The 23,261-nt window shown below is 35.9% G+C and overlaps 1 protein-coding gene and 1 pseudogene across 15 annotated transcripts in view, besides 1 other annotated feature; one reads left to right on the top strand and one right to left on the bottom strand.

Annotated features, from left to right (window-relative positions):
- NEK7 (NIMA related kinase 7) overlaps window positions 1-23,261 on the bottom strand; it is a 165,423-nt gene that overhangs the window by 122,867 nt on the left and 19,295 nt on the right. The window lies entirely within an intron of this gene.
- Window positions 92-151: an enhancer, noted in NCBI's record as "active region_2283". NCBI's record gives its function as "activates an Ori minimal core promoter by ATAC-STARR-seq in GM12878 lymphoblastoid cells {active_cell/tissue: GM12878}" and the evidence as "EXISTENCE:reporter gene assay evidence [ECO:0000049][PMID:35858748]".
- On the top strand, window positions 1,313-1,968 carry PRR13P1 (proline rich 13 pseudogene 1; annotated as a pseudogene).

Here is a 23,261-nt window from a genome sequence, read left to right as displayed (position 1 = left end):
AAAAGCAATATAAAAAAAAAAGTATAGTATAGAGAGAGGAGTTAAACCACACAATTAACTAATTAATTAAATGTGTGCACTAGAAAACAAAGAAAATCTGAAAATCAGTATCTAAGCTTCTGCAGTGGATACTATGGTGTGCTGTGCAGATCACCCTCCAGGACTAAGGCATTCATTCCCCAAGCTGCAGGGAGTGATGGCTCACACCTGTGTCTCTCTCTAAGCAGCTGCATCCAATGACTGGTCAAGGTGACTGAACAAAGGTCTACACCACTTCCTGAAGGGCTGTTCTAGCTGCAGAATGCCCCCAGGGGACTGGCTGCAACCTCTACTGCAACCATATTGCAGTTCAGGTTCTTCTATCCATCTTGCTTCCTTCATGGTGCTCTTCCCAAAAGCATTATACAATAAACACCATATATGCAGATCTCCATCTCTGAATCTTTCCTGGAGAATTCAGCTAAATGACAGCTGCTACTAAAGTGGACCAGAAAGCAGACTCAAACATGGGAATTTGCAGCTCCATCACTGGTTGGTAATGAGGAGTCCCATTACTGATGGTAGGTGGAAGTATGGATAGCCCCCCACATAAGCAGTAGTGCAATTATTAAAACTTTCACCAACCACGAAGTGGGCACAGGATACCAACTGAAGGAAATTTATTGGGAGGTGAAATATCTCAGGCATCTGAAAGGCTGACAGGAAGTAGTAATTATAAGGACTACAGAATCAGCTTTTGCTGGGGGCTACCGACGAATTGTGGGGAGAGGGAATTAAAAACTGAGAATCATTTGAGGTGACATGTGAAAGGTTAAAAAGCCTCTGTGGAGAACGGAAAGAGATTCTCATCTTCCTCACAGTTAGAAAGCAGAAAGAGCTGAGAATCAGGCCAAGGATTTAATTATCAGGGCAACAAATTGCCAAAAAACCCTGAATACCTAACATTGAATACTCAATCCTGGCAAATCTGCTATTCCAAGCACAGGATCCTGTCTGGGAAGAACCAAGACTGAGACTTTACATAGCGACATGTGGGTCGACAGGCTTGAAAATCTTGAAACCCCAGATCACCTTAAACTCTCTGGGCCTGCAGAAGAGGCCCACTCCTCCTTCACCTGAAGACAATACAGGCGCTTCTACCTCATAGGATACACAGGTCCCATCAGTATTTATCACCTCTTGGCCACCGGACTAGTAACCAGGATCAAGGGAAGGAAGCCCAAGGAAAGCTTCCACAGTGCTCGTAATGTCCTACATTTTCACCTAGTGTGTGGTCACATGGGGGGTTCCCTTCTAAAAATGTATTGAGCTGAGGAGAATGCATCAAGCCCAGGCGGTGGTGGAAAGGCTGGAGGACACACCTCAACATGTGGAATCCCAATGCCGGCCAGCCAGGACCAAATCCATATCCCCCCACCATAGGGTACCCTGGAGGTTCCAATCCTGCCCACCCACCACCTATCAATCCACCCTTTCCCCAAGGCCCCTTTCTTCCTCTCCCAGGGCAATCCAGCTTTCCCCCCAGGTGGGCCCCCTCATCCTGTGCCACAGCCAGGGTATCCAGGATGCCAATCCTCGGGTCCCTACCCTCCTCCATACCCACCACCTGCCCCTGGATGCCTCCTGTGAATCCCTTGGCTCCTGGCATGTTCGGACTAGGAGTGATAGAGGACAAGAAGATGCAGATGAAAATGAAGAAAGCTCACAAAAAGATGCACAAGCACCACGAGCATGGCAAGCATTCCTCCTCCTCTTCCATCAGTGACTCTGACTGAATACAGGCCCTGGACCTTACCCTCAAGTCTCACCAGTTCTGTTCTCCCATCGAACTTCAGATGCCATATTGTACCAGGGGAAAGTAGCCCTTGGGCTCCCCACCCCTACCCCCACCTGAGCCTAACCCTGCTGTTCAGCCCTGAGTGGCTAGGGAAAATGGGAAGAGGATTGCCATGGCATGACCATCTTCTTGCTGCTTGGATAGATCATACAGCTAATGAGTTAAGCAGGGGAGCTATTTTTTGAAGATGATAAACTAAATGTTGAAAACAAATTTGAAAAAAAATTGCTGAGCTGTACACTTAAATATGTAATGTACTATTTGTTTGTTGCACTTCGATAAAAAATTTCTTAAAAAAGCAATTATATCCAATCCACATTTTCAAAGAAAAGTGCTTTATTAAGAAACTTCACAGTATCTTATCATATTGGTATTCACATACATTAATTCTTTCTCTATCTTTGTCACTGTATCTACATAGTAGGCAAAGACCACACCAGTCAAAAACTATTCTTTATTAGAAATGTTAACTGTCAAGAAACTAATGAAACTGCAATATTATACAGTAAATGACTAATAAAACAAATATAATTACATTACAGAAATTTATATTTCTACATAGCTTGAACACTAAAGTAGATACCATTTATATACTACTATGTGCCAAGTACCGGGCCAAGTACCTTATATACCTCATATAATTCTCATGATAATCTTCATGTATTAATTCACCAAACAAATACATCTGCCAGGCCTTGTGTTAGATGCTAGAGATTTAGTGGTACACAAAAAGTCCAAGTCCCACCCCCAGTGGTTCTATTACTATACCCAAGAGAAAAGTGAGGCTTATTCAGGTTACCAGTGGCACTCATGGTCACTGTGGCAGACTCTGTAGACTGACCAACCCCACGTCCATTCCCAAACTCTTCCTTGCATGCCTCTACCTCAGCCGCTAAAAAGCTAATTACTCATCTGCCAGCCAGTCTTTCAGCTGGACTTAACCACATAACCTGGACTTGGCCAAAGACATAAGCAAAATTATCTTGTCCTGATAAAAGCTGCCTTTGCCCTTCCCTCCTTTCTCCCAGCCCACCATGTGGATATGACGCCTCAAGCTAAAGCAGCCAGGTTTTCTTTATGAGAAAAAGTTCGAAGAATCACAGAGATTCCAGCCCTGGCATCGCTGAACATTACTATAATTACTGTCACTGAAAAAGATTTCTCATTATGTGAGAAAAATAAACCCCTTTGTAGTTTTGCCACTGTTACTACTTAAAGCTAAATCTATTCCTAACAGATACGTCACACAGCTAGCAAGTGGGGAACCAAGATTTAAACTTAAATCCAGCTCTCGACAAAGCATCAAACTGGGTAACTTTTCTATGAACATTTACTCCAAACTGTAAATAATACATTTTCCACAAATAAGTGCTTATTCCAAAGCCAGACAGATAATTTACAGAAACATCAAGAAGTCACCTGAGAACTCTGTTCTCATGCATCTTTTACTTGGTTGCTGCACTAAATCAGCTTGTGATAACCCTTTCCTGACTTAAATACAGCTTTGTAGACATTGGTCTATAAGCAATAATGCCCTTTGAGCTTCTCAGAAGCATTAAGCTTAGCTTTAGAATTAATAACATTAAACTTTCCAATTTTCCTAGAATATAGTAATGGATAAGAGTCTGACTCACTTTCAATTAATAAATTATTAACTTTATCTTAATCATCATACTAAGACCAAAATCTGCGAAGAAAAATGTCTTCTGGTAGCAGGAACAATAACAGAAGATATATTTATAGATAACCTTTTATTAAAAGAAATATCTCAGACCATTGGAAGAAAATTACTTATCTTCCTTAAATACAGATTAATAAATGTCTTCTATTTATTAAATTAATATAAATCATAATACATTTAAAATAGTAGTGCATATTCGGGTTAAATTTCTTTTTGAGATGGAGTCCCACTCACCAAGGCTGGAGTGCAGTGGCGCAATCTCAGCTCACTGCAACTTCCGCCTCCCGGGTTCAAGCTATTCTCCTGCCTCAGCCTCCCAAGTAGCTGGGATTACAGATGTGCACCACCACACCTGGCTAATTTTTGTATTTTGTTGTAGTGGAGATGGGGTTTCACCATGTTGGCCAGGCTGGTCTCGAACACCTGACCTCAGGTGATCCGGCCACCTCGGCCTCCCAAAGTGCTGGGATCACAGGCATGAGCCACCACGCCTGGCCCATATTCAGGTTAAATTTCAAAGACAAGTTAAAATTTGATTTAAAAAGTCAATATTTGCTCTCTATTTATATTAAACAGTTCAAGGCAATGGGGGATATATGGTTAAATGGGTATTTTCTAGAATCCTCTAGAATAAGCATCCATAATACATTCCTTTTAAATCATGTGTAAATGACAGAACAGTATGTATACTCTTGTGGAGAGTCAAGGGTTGATTCCACAAATGCATTTAAAATGTTTCACCTGTGCTAGGCCCTAGGGGAAGGTGACAACTCCCTGTTTTTTTTTAGTCTACTGAAAGGTACTTACATGTCAGTTATTGTAAATATATGCCCAATCGCCCTAGCAATTCAGAATTTTTTTAATAAAATAGAAATACAGATGGTGACAAGCCAGAAAAGCTTCCCACTAAACCTTCCCCAAAAAAACTCCTTTTGTCTTCCCCTTTCTTCCAGCTACTCTCCACTGTCAATATCAAATATCAATATCTTCGTCTCACACCAGTCAAAGTGGCTACTATTAAAAAGTCAAAAGGCTATTATTAAAAAGTCAAAAAATAACAGGTGCTGGCAAGGTTGTGGAGAAAAAGGAACACTTATACACTGTCGGTGGAAGTGTAAATCAGTTCAACGACTGTGGAAAACAGTGTGGCGATTCTTCAAACCTAAAAACAAAAATACCATTCAACCCAGCAATCCCATTACTGGTTATATACCCAAAGGAATATAAATTGTTCTATCATAAAGACACATGCTCCTGTATGTTCACTGCAGCACTATTCACAACAGCAAAGACATAGAATCAACCTAAATGGCCATTATTGGTAGACTGGATAAAGAAAATGTGGTAAATATACATCATGGAATACCATGCAGTCATAAAAAAGAAGGAGATTATGTCCTTTGTGGGAATATGGATGGAGTTGGAGGCCACTGACCTTAGAAAACTGATTCAGGAACAGAAAACCAAATACCACTTGTTCTCCCCTATAAGTGGGACCTAAATGATGAGATCACATGGACACATAGAGGGAAACAACAGACACATAGAGAGAAACAACAGACACTGGGGCCTACTGGAGGGTGAAGGGTGGGAGGAGGGAGAGAATCAGAAAAAATAACTAATGGGTACTAGGCTTAATATCCAGGTGACAAAATAATGTATACAACAAACCCCCATGAAACAAGTTTACCTATATAAGAAACCTGCCACATGCCCCGAACTTAAAAAAAAAAAAAGAAAGAAAAAGAAAATGCAAAAAGCTAGAAATTCCAGAAGACAAAAAGAAATTAAATTTAACTTAAAAATAAAAAATAGAGTCTTCATCTCAAGTTCAACCTCTCTCCTAAACATCTCCATCCGGATTTCCAATAAAGTTCATAAAAATCAGTATCCAAAAGTGATTTTGTATTCTGAGACTTTGCTGAAGTTGCTTATCAGCTTAAGAAGCTTTTGGGCTGAGACTATGGGGTTTTCTAGATATAAAATCATGTCATCTGCAAACAAAGATAATTTGACTTCCTCTCTTCCTATTTGAATACCCTTTATTTCCTTCTCTTGCCTGATTGCCCTGGCCAGAATTTCCAATACTATGTTGAATAGGAGTGGTGAGAGAGGGCTTCCTTGCCTTGTGCCAGTTTTCCAGGGGAATGCTTCAGCTTTTGCCCATTCAATATGATATTGGCTGTCATATATGGCTTTTTTGTCATATATGGATTTGTCATATATGGCTCTTATTTTGAGGTATGTTCCTTCAATACCTAGTTGATTGAGAGTTTTTAACATGAAGGGATACTGAATTTTATCAAAGGCCTTTTCTGCATCTCTTAAGATAATCATTTAGTTCTGTTTATGTTATAGGTTACATTTATTGATTTGCATATGTTGAACCAATCTTGCATCCCAGGGATGAAGCCAACTTGATCATGGTGGATAAGCTTTTTGATGTGCTGCTGTATTCGGTTTGCCAGTATTTCACTGAGGATTTTTGCATTGATGTTCATCGGGCATATTGGCCTGAAGTTTTCTTTTTTTGTTTTATTTATGCCAGGTTTTGGTATCAGGATGATGCTGGCCTCGTAAAATAAGTTAGGGAAGAGTCCCTCCTTTTCAATTGTTTGGAATAGTTTCAGTAGAAATGGTACCAGCTCCTTTTTGTACCTCCCATAGATTTCAGCTGTATATCTGTCTGGTCCTGGGCTTTTTTTGGTTAGTAGGCTATTTATATTACTGCCTCAATTTCAGAACTCGTTATTGGTCTATTTAGGGATTAACTGCTTCCTGGTTCAGTCTTGGGAGGGTGTGTGCATCCAGCAACTTACCCATTTCTTCTAGATTTTCTAGTTTATGTGCATAGAGGTGTTTACAGTATTCTCTGATGGTTGTTTGTATTTCTGTGGAGTCAGTGGTGATATTCCCCTTATTATTTCTGATTGTGTCTATTTGATTCTTCTGTCTTCTTCTTTATTAGTTTAGCTACCAGTCTATTTTATTAGTTTAAAAAAAAAAAAACCGCTCCTGGATTCATTGATTTTTTGAAGAGTTTTTCATGTCTCTGTCTTCTTCAGGTCTGCTCTGATCTTGGTTATTTCTTGTCTTCTGCTAGCTTTGGGGTTTGTTTGCTCTTGGTTATCTAGTTCTCTTAGTTGTGATGTTAGGTTGTCAATTTGAGATCTTTCTAGCTTTTTGATGTGGGCACTTATTGCTATAAATTTCATTCTTAACACTGCTTTAGCTGAGTCCCAGAGATTCTCACATGTTGTCTCTGTTCTCATTAGTTTCAAAGGACTTCTTTATTTCTGCCTTAATTTCATTATTTACCCAGGAGTCATTCAGGAGCAGGCTGTTCAATTTCCATGTAGTTGTGGTTTTGAGTGTGTTTCTTAATCTTGAATTCTAATTTGACTAGACTGTGATCTAAGAGACTGTTTATTATGATTTCAGTTCTTTTGCATTTGCTGAGAAGTACTACACATCTTCCCCTCAAATTGCCTCCAACTATTTCCACTTCAGCTGGTAAATACCACCATCTACCTGGTCCCTACCAAAGAAACTTTGGAGTAATCTTTCATTCAACCCTATCTCACCCATATCTAATCAATTTCCACATCACACCAATAAATTAAAAAGCAAACAGCAGAAATAGAGAAAATAGAAAACAAAGACAGATTCAACAAAACCAAAAGCTGGTTCTTTAAAAAAAAAAATTAATAAAAATAGACAAATCTATGGTGAGACTGATCAATTAAAAAAAAAAGGGAGAAAGCAAAAATAAATAAAAAATTACAGAGCAGCATAACTACAAATCCAGCCAAATAAGAAATGTGGGGGGAAGAAAGGAAGAATATAAAAAAAAAATTTTACATCAGTAAATCTGAAAACATAAGATAAAACAAACAACTTCCTGAAAAAAGTATGTATGTGTATTTGTACATATAAAAAATTAATTCTAAAATATGAAAAAAGGAGGCCAGAAATAGCCAAGAAATTTTTGAAAACCCTTACCAAGGTAAAGGGCCTTTCCTAAATAGAGATCCAAGCTTATTGAAAGGGCAATTGAAGCAGGAAAAGACAGGGAGAACATTGGAACTACTATGCAGGAAAAATCTTTGAGACAAGTGGCATTACAAGCAAGTGGATGAAGTATAGACTATTCAATCAATGGTATCAGGATAGCTGGTTATCAATTATTTTGAATCAATAAATACATACACACGTACACACACAGAAACAAAGGATTACCACCTTGTACTATACAGAGCAGATTAAAGAACTAAATATGAAAAGCAGAACTTTACAACTTTTTGAAGAAAATAGACAAGTATTTCTTCACAACATCTAGGTAAAGAAAAATACACTTCAGGACAAGTATTACAAACTATAAAAAAACGACTAACAAATTTAATTACATTAAAATTAGAAATATCTGTTCATCAAGAGAGGTAATTTAAAAAGTACAAAGAAAAGTCACAGATCAATAAAAAGAATATGTACAATGCATACAACTTAGAATTCATATCTAGGATTTATGAAAAAAATCAATACGCGAAAGTCAACCTAATTTTTTTTAACTGGCAAAAGACATTAACAAGTAATTTGTAGAAGAGCATATGAAAATATTCTCAATCTCATCACAAATCAGGGAGATGCAAATTAAACAACAGGATACCACTTCATACTTATCAGATGGGCTAAAAAAATTAAATTCTGTCAAAATAAAACAAGGATATGGAACAGCTGGAACTCACATATACTACAGGCAGAAATATTTGAAGGACAACATCCCTACAACCCACCAATTCTTCTCCTAGTATATACTCCAAAAAAACTCTAACATATGCACAAAGACATACAAAAATGTTCAGGACAGCACAGTTTGTAATAGCCACATAGTGAAAAGAGCATTTCACTTCTGCCAGGACCCAGCGGGATTAAAGGCCTAGGACCCCTTGATGTGTTAGTTTCCCTGTTTGATCTACTGAGTTAGAAAAAAAATATTTTGTAAACTTAAGTGTTGATGTTACTACTTGTTTCAAAACACTCTAAAAAATCTATAAATGATATGAATACATCAAAGTATGAAATAAAAGCAAATGCACTAAACAAAGTACTATATAAAACTCATGACCACCTCTTTACTATTTATCTAATAGGAAGCATAGCAAAATCCTTCTACTAGTCTAGAAAAGCCAAGATTCTAAGAAGATTATAACAAATTCCATATGTTGGAAATAAAACAAAAAAAATTATCATCCTTCTCTTTCAGGGCCACTCTCCTAATAACGGTAGAAATAAAAAAGAAACAAACCATTCCTAGGAAAAGTTACTAAATTTCTCAATTTGTAATTCCATTAACAATTACTTAATTACAGATACATTTGCATTTATAAGAATGCAAAAAAATGATCTAGGACCAGAATGAGTCACAGATTTTAAAATTCAGAGTTACAAGGGACTTTAGAGAGTATCCTCTAAATACACAGAGAAGCATGTCTTCTCTATAATATCTGATTAATTCTGTTCAATTTTATTTAGTAAAACTGTATTTTTATTCTAGAAGTCCATAAAACAGTATACTCTTAATAAATATGCATTTTATTAAAGCTTAAGTCATCCAAAAGCATTAAAGAAAAATACTGGCATAAAAATTCCACCTCTCTGCCAGTTTAGGTTGGTTTACTTGTTGTGTGAGAAAATATCAGGGGTATAGATTTAAGAAGACGGAGGCACGCTGAAATTTAGAGGAGTCTCTAAAAGTCTGTTGTTTGTTGCAACTGACTGAAAGCTGACAACATGTTCCCAGATGAATGCTTTAATATATACTAAATGATAAGTTTTCATAGCGGATTTTGATGGCAACTCTGATAGTGTTAGGGAGATAAAATGGGGTAATTTTTATACATCTTCAAGAACAGAAAACTTAATGTGGCAGTAATATTTTCATTAAAATACTTCTGTTTCATGTGTTTCAAATAAAATGCAAGCATTTTTCAAAATAAAATTACTCAAAGTATAGGAAAGAATTATTCAAGATGTTGCATTCTTAACATTTGCCTATATGGCAATACAAATTAAATAATTAAGTAGCCACAAAATAATGACCCTCCTCTCTTTTTAAAAATATCATTGAAACCTGGAGATAAGTTTAACTTTTTAATCAATTAATACACAAATTCTTTATTCACATCCAACAGCTTCTTGCGATTAAATGCTGTTTTGATTCATAATGATTACAATTTATAGGTTTTTAAAGTTTATCACTTGAGCTTGGTAGCTATTCTGAGTTTAATACTAAAAATAAAGCAGCCCCAGAAGGAATGAATAAAATAACTTTAAGCTGTTTGTCCCAAAAGAACAAATACTTTGAAAACATATTCTAAAACATAAAATTTGCCTTCATCTTAAAAGCCCTTAACATTAATCCAAATGTTTAATGAGGCCTGTAAGTGGGTCATGACATATTTGTTCAACCCAGGCCGAAAATTTGTATACAAATTGTTCCTTAGAATTTTCAACCAAAAGTTATATATACCAAAAGAAGGATTAATAATGGAAAGTCTGACCTAACACTAGCCTGACTACTATGATCTTCTACTTAGTAGTATCCTACTGCTTACTGTTCATACCACTCAGAGTTAGAACGAATCTTTAGTTCTTTTAACTCGAAAGATGCAAATAAATATGAACTTTTTCTCTCAATTGTGCTTTAAATATAACTTATCTAATTGTAAGATGTCAGTTCATACAACTAGGGACTTACGACATGAAAATTAAACAAAAATAACAACGTTTTTAAAAAATCCTTTCAAATAGCATTCTTTTCCACTTTCTTTTCCTATATGACACTAATACCAGTAAAATCTTAATTCAGACTTATATTCAAAATACGTAACATGCCACACATAAACTGAACTAAATTTTAACACCAATGTATTTCCTAGGCAAACTGTTAACTTAGGATTTTGAAGTTTCAAGAGAGTAACAATTTTATTGAAATATTCAGATATGTAAATATTATCCATAACCTACAAATCATCACTTTCTACTCATTCAAGCGCACTTGATTTAGGATAGTAAAAGAAAACAGATGAGGTTCAATGCCTGGTTGCACAACTTTCACATATAATCTGCCACGTGCCACTTACCCTCTGTGAGCATCAGTTTTCTTTTCTGCAAAATGGAGATGATCAACTTTCCTGGCCTACTTCACCAAGTAGGATGACTTCGCGACATAAATTATACAAGTGTTTTATTAACTCTGAAAGCAGAACTCAGATATAGTATTACTATACTATTTCATGCACATTATTTGAAAAATACCTATTCTTATAATATTTTAGGTGTTTCATATTGATAATAATATATCAGGAGAGCCAAGTGTTTGCAGCACAGCCTCAAGAAGCAGACAAAACTACAAGGTCTAAGTATCTTCTGTCCCTGAGCCCTTTCTATGTAGCTAGTGGCACGGGTCAAAGTAACTACAGGGACTTCAGTACAACTGCTTACTCCCTGCCAATGGTGTCAGGCTTCCCTGCTAGCTGCTACAAAAAGTACTGAGCCCTTAGTTCTGGGCTCCTCAGCTGCCACACAACTCATGCAAGCATAACCACCATGAAGGGCCATCACTTCTCTCCACTGAACTTATAGGCAAGAAAACTGGTACTACTATGCTGATACTCCTGCTGTTTGCTGTGCTTTAAAAAACTGCCTTGCTTTCATCACTAAGTCTTATCTACTTTTATCACCTATGAAGTTGTGGTAAGCTAATCAGCTTACTTAGTCATTTCCTCTAAAACTGTGTTACCCCTTGCATTCTCTATGAAATCCAGGTTCTCACCTAAACAAAACAACAACAAAAAAAGGTAGAGCGAGCAGTGTGCTGAGATAGACAACGACTTTTTGGAAAGCCAAAAGGCAATGTCACTATGACTATTAAAACAAGGATTCCCTAAGCAAACACAGATGGGATCAGCACCCAAAAAATTGGCACCAGAAATTGTGCTATGGGAGCCCTGAAGCAGGTAGCTGGTTGAAAGCAAAGCAGTCTGATTAAAACCAGAAGTGCCTCTATAGAGCCAGATTCCTCCATGGAAATCAATCCCCCTCTACTAGCGGAACTAAGAAGCTGAGTGGCAACCTTAGAATAAATTACTCCTTCATTGCCTCCATTACATAACCTTGTACCTTTGTACCCTAATTTGCTATCCTTTAAAGATAAAGGGACCAGAGATGCAGCCAAAGTCTTTCTACCCACGGGAAAGACTTCAGGAAGAAAGGTCAAGGTGGGCAATCCAAACTTGTATGGTTCTTTTAGATACTGACACTAACGAGAGCTGGCAGCCTACAGTGGATTCTCACCAACTGAATTCAGTTGTTGTCCCTGTTGCTCTGGGTGTTCCAGACATTGTGACCATGACTGAATCAACTGCACAAACTAATGACACCTGGTATGCCATCTTGGATATTGCTACTGTCTCTTTCTCAATCCCTTGGGTACCAGAAAATTAAGATCAGTTTATCTCCAGGTTCCAAAACAGATTTACTGAGCAGCCACGGGAGTATCTGAATTCTCCTGCTGTTTGCATCAATGCTGAGATGTGGAACAAGCCTTTCTCCCTTGGCAATGGCTTTGGAAGAGATGCTGACTCACATGAGGGCCCAGGGGTGGTTCATTAATCCTGATGAGATATAGGGACTAGCCATCGGAGTCAAATTCTCAGGAGCAATGCTGACTGCCCTGAGACAATAAAGGAAAAATTACTTACCCTGCAGTCCCCACCTACCAAAAGGGAAGCCTGGCACATAATTGGACTGTTTAGATATTGAAGACAACATGTGCCTCATCTAGGCTAAACTACCCAGAGGACATGCAGGCTTCTCATTCCACATAGCAGTGCAAGTACTTTTCCCTGACAGTGGAATTCATGCCACAGAGCAAATGGTCAGAAATCTATCCTTAACTTTAGTTACCACAGGCAATGGGGCTGTGCAAACTCTGGAATATCAGCAGGTCAGCTTAAAATTCCTTTGTACAAGTCATAATGCATAACATACTGGCCTAAACTACATGCTGGCTGACCAAGATATGTATGAATTAATACCACTGCTCAGATGGAACAATCCATACTTCCCATAAGGAAGGGAGCTAAATGATTATCTGAAATAATATCTACTAGTACTGTCTGGGACTTTACTTAATTTGTTGAGTCCAGAATCCTAGGGTACATGGTTGAGGTGAATACTGCAGGTTGGCCTCATTCTGTTGATAATTGTCCTCATCAAGTGTTGTATGAGATAAACTGGATGAATTTTTCCTCAGCACCTGACAGCATATCTAATCTGAATTGCTGATGGGGTGGTATACTCATATGAAAATTTGAGTTCAACCAAGAATGTGTATGGGCAAAGGTTGGACTGTCAGGAAAGACTGTCTGTCATGGGGCCCACACATCCTTGTACATCCTTACCAAGTATGCCAAACAACAAATGCACCAGCCATCCTGTATCTTTGAGCTACTTCTGTAGCTAGTTATGTAGGCAATCCAGTAGGTCAAAGAACTGCAAAGCAGGTCTCAGCATTCCTTGCCAGCCTGTATGATAACTGGCAAATAACAATACAAAACAAAACAAAACAAAACAAAAACTTGCTCTTTTGCTCTTTACACAATATCCTGGCCTTTGAAACTTTTAAAGGAAATTCTAAAGGTAAAGGGAAGTTTAATAAATCTAAATATTTAATGGTTTCAATATTATAGTTTGCCATACATCACATACAACCGATATGCCTTAACATCACTTGAATTCATTGCTAAACAGAAAATAAGTAAGCAGAAATATTTCAGTAGCTAAAGAAATAATTTCAAATACATCCTTTCACAAGTAAAAATAATTTCTGTTGATCATTTTACTGTTCTAAACATATTTGCCATAAGTTAAGTAACATGACCATTAGAAAGGTGATCTGCTAACATAAATCTTCCAGCTAGTCAAGGGCTGCAGCATAGCTCCTTCGAGATAAGATTATCTTCTAGATCCAAGACTATGTGTATGAGTTTTAGCAAAAAAAGATGATTTATAGATTTTCATTTTCACTTTTAATATTTCAGAACGTGCCTACTGGTACAGCCTGATGAAACTGAAATAAAAATGACAACTAATCTGGAAGACAACCAGCAACCAATCACCAATCAAACTGAACAAATAATGCCTTCTCTGCCCCATTTCCTCTTCTGTCAATTTTAATAAAATCATAGTTCTCAGTACTCCTTGCCATCCTGGTACTCAGCACTCCTTGCCCCAATTTTAATAAAATCAAGAGAAGAGAAAATGGGGCAGAGAGGACATTCCAGGCAGCACTACCTATAGATGGGAGGTACTGTTTGGTCCTCACACTCATTATAAAGCTTACATTTCATGGATGGTCAGAGGTGGCTGGCAACTTTCAATATGTCAAAATAAGGTGTTTCTTACAAATTTCTAATTTTTAAAATATTAGAACACTGTAACTTAAATTAGATATCTAGTTCTACAAGTCAGAGTAAGACTTTCATAGATCTACCAATAAAGCTCTACTGAGGCATTTTTAGACATGAGATAATTCACTTGCTCCCTGCTAGAGGAATATAAAGTTAAAAATATATATATATTTCTTACGCAATTTCACAAATTTGGACAACACACAAAAGAAGACGCCAATCATTGAAAACACTTCTTTAAAAACGCAAATATCTGCCAGAAAATCTGGCTTATCTCAACTGATGGACACTATTTATGAAGAACAAAGTTCAAACACAGAATCACTAAGCAAAAAGCCTCTCTTCTGACCAAAAAAAAAAAAAAAAAAAAAAATAGACAGCATGTACTACTATGTAAAAGAAGTGCCTCAGAAAGGAAAAGCAGATATCTATAATAATGTGTCCAGTGTCTATATTCGATGCTTGCTTGTATACTAAAAACAACAGTAAGACACTGTTTTTACTGTAAGTTTTCCTAGTACCTTTCAAAACTGTCTTGCCACAAGACTCCCAAAATCACCACTATCTTTCTATTTTGGTTAAAAATATTTTGTTGGGGATCCCAAGGGAAGAAAATGACTTGAAGCCAGAAGTGCAACAGCAGCCTGGGCAACATAGCGAGACCTTGTCTCTACTAACTAACTAACTAACTAGCTAAATAAATAAATAAATAAATAAATAAATTTCAATTAGCCAGGCATAGTGGTGTGCAACTTTGGTCCCAGCTACTTGGGAGGCCGAAGCAAGAGGACCACTTCAGCCCTGGAGTTCGAAGCCGCAGTGAGTCATGATGGCACCACTGCACTCCAGCCTGGGCAACACAGCAAGATCCCATCTTAAAAATATATATATTGTGATTTCATTAATGGAAGTAAGGGTAATCTTGCTGTTACTGTTGTTGCCATGGTTGTTGCATTGTGTGCATGTGTGTTTTGATGTTGGTAAACATGCCTTAAACACAAATCAATTTCATTTAAGAATTATTAAATCAAACATCAGTCATAAATCCCCTAGATCTTTGAATGATCTAGAAAAATGAAAGTTATATGAATATGTAAGCAGTTTGACTATTTAAAATTAAAAATATATTCTACATTTTCCAACAATAGCCATGTAAAATTTGTCTGTCAAACAGATCGACAGGAAGTTAAGCTAATCAACTGAAGAGATAATATTTAGAACTGTAAATCTACCCCTTCAAGAAAAATCGCACTGAGTCATAAACCAATTGTTATAAAGGATTCTTGTGTCTGAATAGGTGAAACATTCCATACATTTATTTATAATGTGTTTGTCATTTGTGAAAATTGCCCAGTGAATAAAGTCAAATCCTTGCATACTACGAGGGTAGCTAATATGGTGTGAAAAATTACTATTTTCACACTATACAGCAGTAATAACAAAACATTCTTCAAAAATTCTAAAATCTGGCATGTACAAATCTCATTATAAAATCATTTTAAAGAAAGCTGTTGTTAAGTAAACATCCAACTATTAAATGGACCAGATACCACCAACATACATAATGTTCAAGTAAGCCCAGGGTAGGCACCTACATTCCAAGATATCCACTTACAATATTTGTTAGGATAAAACGGAATAAAGGAAAGAAAAAAAATTGTTTTTACATTTTCTTCACCTGTTTCTTGAACCACTTCAGAATTATGAATGACATTAGACCATTAAAAACGTCTCGAGTCACATGCTATATTTATCACCACTGTGTTTCCAGTGCTCAGAACACCATAGGCACATAGCAGGCATGCAAATATTTGCTGAATGAATGAAAATATAATGCCTGCTTAACCCTGTTTCATCTTGATAAACTTAAAAAACATTGGTAAAAAGCTGCCTCTAAATGCTAATTTAGAGTCCAAAAAAAAAGCAGCAGAAATTTGAACATTTGTTGTATCAACTGACTAACACACATGTTTAGGACATTATTAACTAAAATGTTTATTTACTATAAGTCAGAAACATTTCAAAGTATAATATTTAGAGGGTCAGCATGCATAATACTCAATTGGCTGCAATTAAATCATCCTAGAATACCTCCTTCATTGTATCTTTCACTGTATCATTCTTTTTTAAAAAAACATTTCTGATGATTCTTCACAATCTTTACAATAAATTCCTTAGCCTGGAATTACAGGCCCCTATCTATTCAACGGAAATTTACTAAACTCCTCCTTTGAACCAGGCAGGTACTCAGAATGGTTCCATTAAAGAGCTCATGGCCTAGTGGAAGTAGTAGTATTCCGAAACATCTTCCAGAGACATCGCCACATGAAAAATCAAGAAAAATCTGAAGTTTCAGGCTACCAATGTAACCTCTAAAGACGGGTTTTCCAGATGGGAGTTATAGGGTTGATTTTTCATTTCACAAATACCACCATTTTGGCAGCTATAAAGAGAATGAATCAGAACCTCATGCCCCACTTATTTCTGCCAAACTGGCCCATTTTTGAGTTTCAGAAATCCTATTATAATTTCACCTACCACAATGGCCTCCTCTCAAAGCCAAGCACAAATCCCTATGCTTCCATGAGTTCTCATTCAAACCAAAGGAGACATCCCCTTCCTGTAGAAGGCCTATACTATGGTATACTCTAGTGGCACTAAGGGCCTTTCTTATATTGTTAATGACTACTATCAATCGGGATTATGAAGTCCATAACAACAAAGTCTGTAGTAGATTCCTCTGAATCTCCCATTATATCCAACACAGTTTTTTTTCCCATAATAAGCCTTCTCAGAGTACAACAAATAACTGTAATCAGTTGTACTATATTTTACTGAGCCATTAAAGTATGTAAAAATTATAAGTAGATGGTTAGCACGTAATAAAACAAAGAACAAAGAGTTTGAAAGTAACAGTTTCTAAAATCCAGAATACATAAGTAATGTTTCCAAAAAATAATTCCAAAATCCCTGCATTTTTTTCCAGATTAATTACTTTTCATACATGTAGAAATCAATGGCCACAGGCCTGGCAGCAAGAATACAAACCAGAAAACCAACCCCAGGTTGTGAACCATAATCATGGTTTTGGGCTGTAACAGGAAAGCTCTATCTCTCTCTCTCACATGCGCACACACATACACACACTTTTATTCACATCCATTCTCCCTCTCTCCAGTTCAAGGCCTAAGAGATTAAAACACCCTTGTCCATTTAGACACAGAAGCCAAAATAGGTCGACCTACTTAATATTTAATATATGATCTAAATGAAAGAGACAAATTAAGAATGGTGAAAACATTATTAATGTATGTGCAAGAACACCTTTCTAACTGAAAGCTGACCATCATTATCCACATCTCTAATTCTTCTTGGATTTACCATCTTGAAGTAAAAAATATTCATTACAGCCAACTATTGAGAAGATGATTATTCTGATGCCCTGCTATTCACTTCTACCTGTTGCCTACCTTTTTTATTATTTCACTCTTTATTTCCATCAACAGAGGTAAACCTGAAAATATCTACGCATATTTGAACATATCAAGTATATAAAGCCATTTTAAAATTATATATATATATCACTTTTTTCTATTAAAACAAGAAAAAACAGAATCCTAACAAATGAAATCATTTCATTAACTGACAAAGTTTAATGAAGTTTCTCCTTCAATTCAACCACTTACCCTCACATGTCATTTTTAAAGAAATGATTTGCTTTACTCTGTCAAATGTTAACAAAACACATTTTAAATTGGGTTCATAGATTAGTCCATCATCCAGTGAAATTTTTCAAATAATCATTTCTTCAGTAATGGCACTACATGAAATCTAAAAGTCATACAACATTACAAGTTTAGAAGTTTGTATTTTTGTTGTTGTTTATTTATTTCAGTAATCTTATCATTGTTATTGAGGAGATTCTCACAAACATAAATAACATGGGGGGAAAAGCACTGGAATATGATACAGAGGATAAAAGTCTTAACCCACTTTACCAATAACTTTCTGTGTAATGTGTAATCAATCTCTGAGTCTTAGTTACTTCAAATACTAAGTGAAGGTGTTAGATTCCATGATAGATACCCAGTCTCAAAAGTTCACTCAATTCTAACGTCTTGTGAAATAAATAATCAAGTCATGCTGTATACATTGAGAGTTTACTGACAGGAACTTTGGGATGCTATGCATTAGTTACCTCCCAGAGCAGAGCCTCACTAGTAATGCATGATTAACTCCTAAGACACCCTTACTGAAGAATCTTCATGGAAGAGGGCACTATTGAAAAGAAGTCAATGATCAATTAATTTGAAATCAAAAACACCAAGAAGTTTTTATCTGCTTAGAGTTACATGTCAAGTATATGGTTGACCTAACAAAAAAAACTAAGATAATGCTTAGTTTGCTGGATTTGTTGTTGCTGTTTTTCTGAACTATTTAAAGATGATACTATGGTCTAAGAGTCCAATTTATAATTAGTTATCTCATCAAAGTAGCATGGTGATTATCATGTGTTTAAAGTTAATAGGAAAACTATAGAAAATGGGTGACCTTCTTGGTTTGATAACTTGTCCTATTTTGACCTTTTCCACATAGATATCTCTCTTACACTAGAAAATAAGTCAATCATATTATGAATGTATATTTAAGGCATCATTTTATAAAGCATTTTATAGACAGTTTTTCCTATTAGAAATCAACATTAAAAAATGTGTGAGCTATAAGCCCATTACTTATTCACACTTTTATTTTTAGTAAATGACTATATGAACATAATTTATTTAATAAGGCTGTGAATTTGTTTTCTCAAAGTAAAAATTAAATGTCCTCTTACTGAAAATACTCCATGTGTGTTCTCATTGCAATTCTTCCACAAGCAAAAGCAACACATCATTGGACTACCTCCCTAAAAGATTATGATAATTATCAAAAATTAGTACAAGGTCAAAATTATCAGCAAGAAAATGTTGTACCCAAAGGGGGAAAATGTGTTAAATAACAACAACAAAAATTATGAATTCTAGCCCTGTCTCTATCACCACCAAGCAAATGCAAGCTTCTCAATGCCCTTCCTATACCATCTGTCAAGTGAGGAAAAGCCTGCCCATTCCTCAAGCAAACTGTTACAAAGGAAAGAAACCTCATCCAAACCTCTTCTCTCATATTTTCATCTAGCTATACAGTTAAAACAACAGGTCTCAGCACACATCCTGAATAAATTACTTTAGAATAAGGAATAAAATGTTAGTAACAATAATGATTCTAAATTATGATACTTCGTTATTGATTAATTTTCTCTATGATGCAAAGGCTTTTAAATATTAGTACAAACTGAATGCTTACTTTTAACTGGAAGCACCCCCCCACCAAAAAAAAAAAGGGAGGTGTAGAAATCATGATTCTCTCTGGCCGTGATTTTTAAGGTTTCTAAATTTTATGTTTATATGTACTCTTCTAGCAAAATAAGCATCAATATGCTTTATTGACATTTTACACTTATCATTTTGTACTTTTCAAAAAGTTTCCACAGATATCTTCTCAAAACATCACAGTGGAGTGAGTGGGAAATAATTTCCAGATTACAGACAAGAAACTCCAAAGAAAGAAGTTACACAACTTAACCAAAATTACACAAGGAGAAAGCAAAGAAACTCAGGTTTCCTGACTCCTATAAATCAGGTTTAAGTTCAGTCTACTTTGTGTGTTTACACACACGTGTCTGCACACATACACACACACACACATACATACACACACACACACACTCCTGTGTAACTGTAGGTTCTTCCTGGCAACAGGAAGACTGCAGAAATCTGCATACGAACAAAATTTTCTTAAACTCTGTAAAGCCACAATTGAAGGATAGGGTTTCACAGACTATAAAGGCAGTCCTCAAGACCACAGAAAGACTGTTTAGCCCAAAATCCAACCACATCCTGGAGAGTCTGTCCCAGCCTCAGGTCCTAAAGTCCCTTGATTTTCCTACATGAACACTTCTATTCTGTTGGAGCCATCCTCATGCATCTTGCTGTACACCAAAAATAATCCTTTTTTTAGAGTATTATACCACCTTACTGTTCAAGAATCTGTATGAATTCTCTGTCACTTAACTGTTAGACCAAATTTAAATTCATCTTAAGAATTCAGGGCTTACTGGATAAAAAAATAAAGCAAACATAAAGGCCCATAATGAAGAATGTCTATTTAAGTTTTGAAAAGCCATGCATGTTCTACATTTTTAAAAAATGTTTTACACACACAACACACAAATTTCCTAAAATCCACTGTAACTTGAAAACTACATGAGGATAGGTTTCCAAATAATGTTTTCATTTAAGAAATCACTATAGTATATAGAATGCCTAAAAATGCAAGGCCTTATATTAGAATTGGCAACAGAAAATGTAAAGATTAATATATTTCCTATACTCAATGAGTTTAAATTATAGCAGTTGAGAAGAAATAAGGACAAACATATGAAATTACAGTATGTTTTTATATTGACCATATCCCATATCAAATGACAGTCTCAATTTTCTAAGAGGCTTTTCCTTAAAAAAAAAAGGGGGGGGGTATCAAATGGTATCAAATGCTTTTCTATTCTACTAAGCTTATCTCACAAATTTTCTTACTGAACCAAATGAGATAATGAATCAAATAGCTAGATCTCTTCCATTATATTATCTTTATATGCTCAGATAAACCTTTATCGGTCATGACTGATGACTCTTTAACTGTACCATTAGTTTTAATTTTATTGAAGCTTTGTGTATCTACAACCATAAGTGCTCTTCAAACTCTGCTCTTTAAAACACTAGAATTCCAGGAGTTGTTAATCTGTATTCCATGACAACAACAACAACAACAACAACAACAAAAAATGGCAGGGAGAGGGTCCATGAACAAATGAATCTGCAAAATACTGGGCAAAATAAAGTCAAGTTGGTTTCTTAGCTATAAGACTTCTCAGGGATCCAATTACACTAAAGTGCACTGTAAACCCCAAAAGAGTACCCGATGCAGATTTTTCCAAACTTGTCTAGCCACAAAATTCTCCTACAGAATTTCTATTATCTTGGAAAAGTCTGGTAATCTGTTGAACACAGTCTGGTCAATATTCGACCAACATATCATCCTTTGGGCCAAATTTTTGCAGGCTTTGATATTAATATAGTAACTCAAGAGCATGAACTGAAAGATTCCTATTCATTTCGATTTAAAAGTAAAAAACGTTAAAAACAGGACTATAAGTCTAAGTGGGAAGGCAGCTCATATTACTTTAATTCTTCCATAGTCATTAGTCTATTAGTTATTAGGGCTTGAGTCGATTTATAAAGTTGTTCTTTCTCTTATTTAGTGATTTTCTTCATTAAACTCTACTTTAAAATTTATATTGCTACTCCTCTGTGTTTTCTGATGTATTTTCCTTATAAATCTTGGCTACCTTTTTATTTTTAACCTTTCTAGGTTGATTCGTTCTAAGAATATCTTTTGAAAGCAGCACATAGTTGAGGATCTCTCTTTAATCTGAGTCCTTTTAAAGGGAAATTTAATATACTGTATACAAATTGTTTTGTTGACACTTGTCTTTTATATTCTTAATTCTTATGTTTCTGTGCTATTTTTTTTCATCTCTTGCCACATGGACGATGTTTGCTTGCTTGATTTTGTCTAGCCATTTAGAAAACAAACATATCTTTTCTTATCTTAATTCCACTAATGGTGATTCCAAGTTATTTAAAGGCCTCCTTTAACCAGACTTTTTGTTCATTATCAAAGTAAAACTGAAATCCTTCTTCTGGCACACAACCCGAGGTTAGCTGAGGAACTGATCATGCCATCACTCTTCCCTTTCCCCCAACACTTCATTCCCAGTTCTCAGATTATAAGTTTTATAACCATACCCTTTTTAAGTTATTCTGACATTTTGTACTATTTCCCATCTTGCAAAACAAGTATTTAGTCTTGCTTCTACATTTAAAAAAAGCATTTCAATGCTTTTTCTCAATGATTTTGTACAAACATGTCCCTTTCCCAAACTCTTAATAGTACATTTTCAAATAATTTTTGAAGAGCTCATATGTGATACATTGTCTCTGAACGTTGAAAATAAAAAAAGTAATTCTATTGCCATCATACATGAACAATAATTTGGCTGTGTATGCCCTTTTTTAGCCACAATCCTCTGCTTTGATTTTGTTAGGTCTCTGAAGTAATTGTTCCATTACTTCTGGCATTTTGTGATACTGAAGAGAACACTTTGATCCCTTCCAATTCTTGGCTGAAGAACAGTAATTTACTTTCATCAATTATTGGTTCAGAACTGTGTGTTTACCTACTACTACTTAATATAGTACTTGCTTGAAGTAAATCAAGCTAGCAATGTGAATCACTACATAAAGAGCATAATAAGGAAATTATTTTATCTACTTTTATCGTTTCTACACAAAATGAGTCTTTTGCTCTGTGATCAATAAACAAGTCTGCTGATTCTCTTGTTTAAGTTTCCTTTAATGGTAAGTCCCTTGGTTATTTAAATCAATAATCACACATTTTCAGCTGGACATAACCTGCCTCCTACATACTGACGATTTATAAACCTGTAGCTCCAGAATCTCATTTCCAATTATATTGCATCTTTCTGCCTAATATCCTAAACCTAACATGTCTAAAATCTTGAACACTCTAAACTGTTTCTACTCTGTATTTCCTTTCTTAGTGAATGGCATTTTCATCCAGTCACCCCCTACATTGTTATCCGTCATCCCCTACGGTCCCTAGGTCATACCAGAAACTTTTACTCCCTTACCTCTACGTAAGTCCTCAACTCCTACTAATTCTGCCTCACAAACATCATCACTCTGTTTATCCCAGACCCTCATGATCCTTGCTACTATTAAAATCTACTAACTGCTCTTCCTGATGTTAGTAATGAAATTCTTATTCTACATACCCATTATATATATATATATATGATAAATCTAAGATGAAAATCTATGTCATAAGCCTGCTTAAAACTCTTTAATGAATAAAACATAATCTCCTCAACCTCACTCCTTACTTGCCAGCTACTTTCCCCCACATAAGTACCATACTCTGGCCTTAATGTGAACCACTTATACTTCCTCCAAATGCCAAGTTATTTAATACCTATGTGCCTCTGACACAGACAATGGCATCATACTGAAATACTCAACCCAGCTAGTCAGCCTGGTCAACCTTGCTTGGTACTCAGGTAGCCTTTTTTAAAATACGTATTTTAAGCATTTGT

Source organism: Homo sapiens, chromosome 1, assembly GCF_000001405.40.
Source record: "Homo sapiens chromosome 1, GRCh38.p14 Primary Assembly".
Classification (NCBI taxonomy): Eukaryota; Metazoa; Chordata; class Mammalia; order Primates; family Hominidae; genus Homo; species Homo sapiens.
This window is presented reverse-complemented; position numbering and strand designations above follow the sequence as displayed.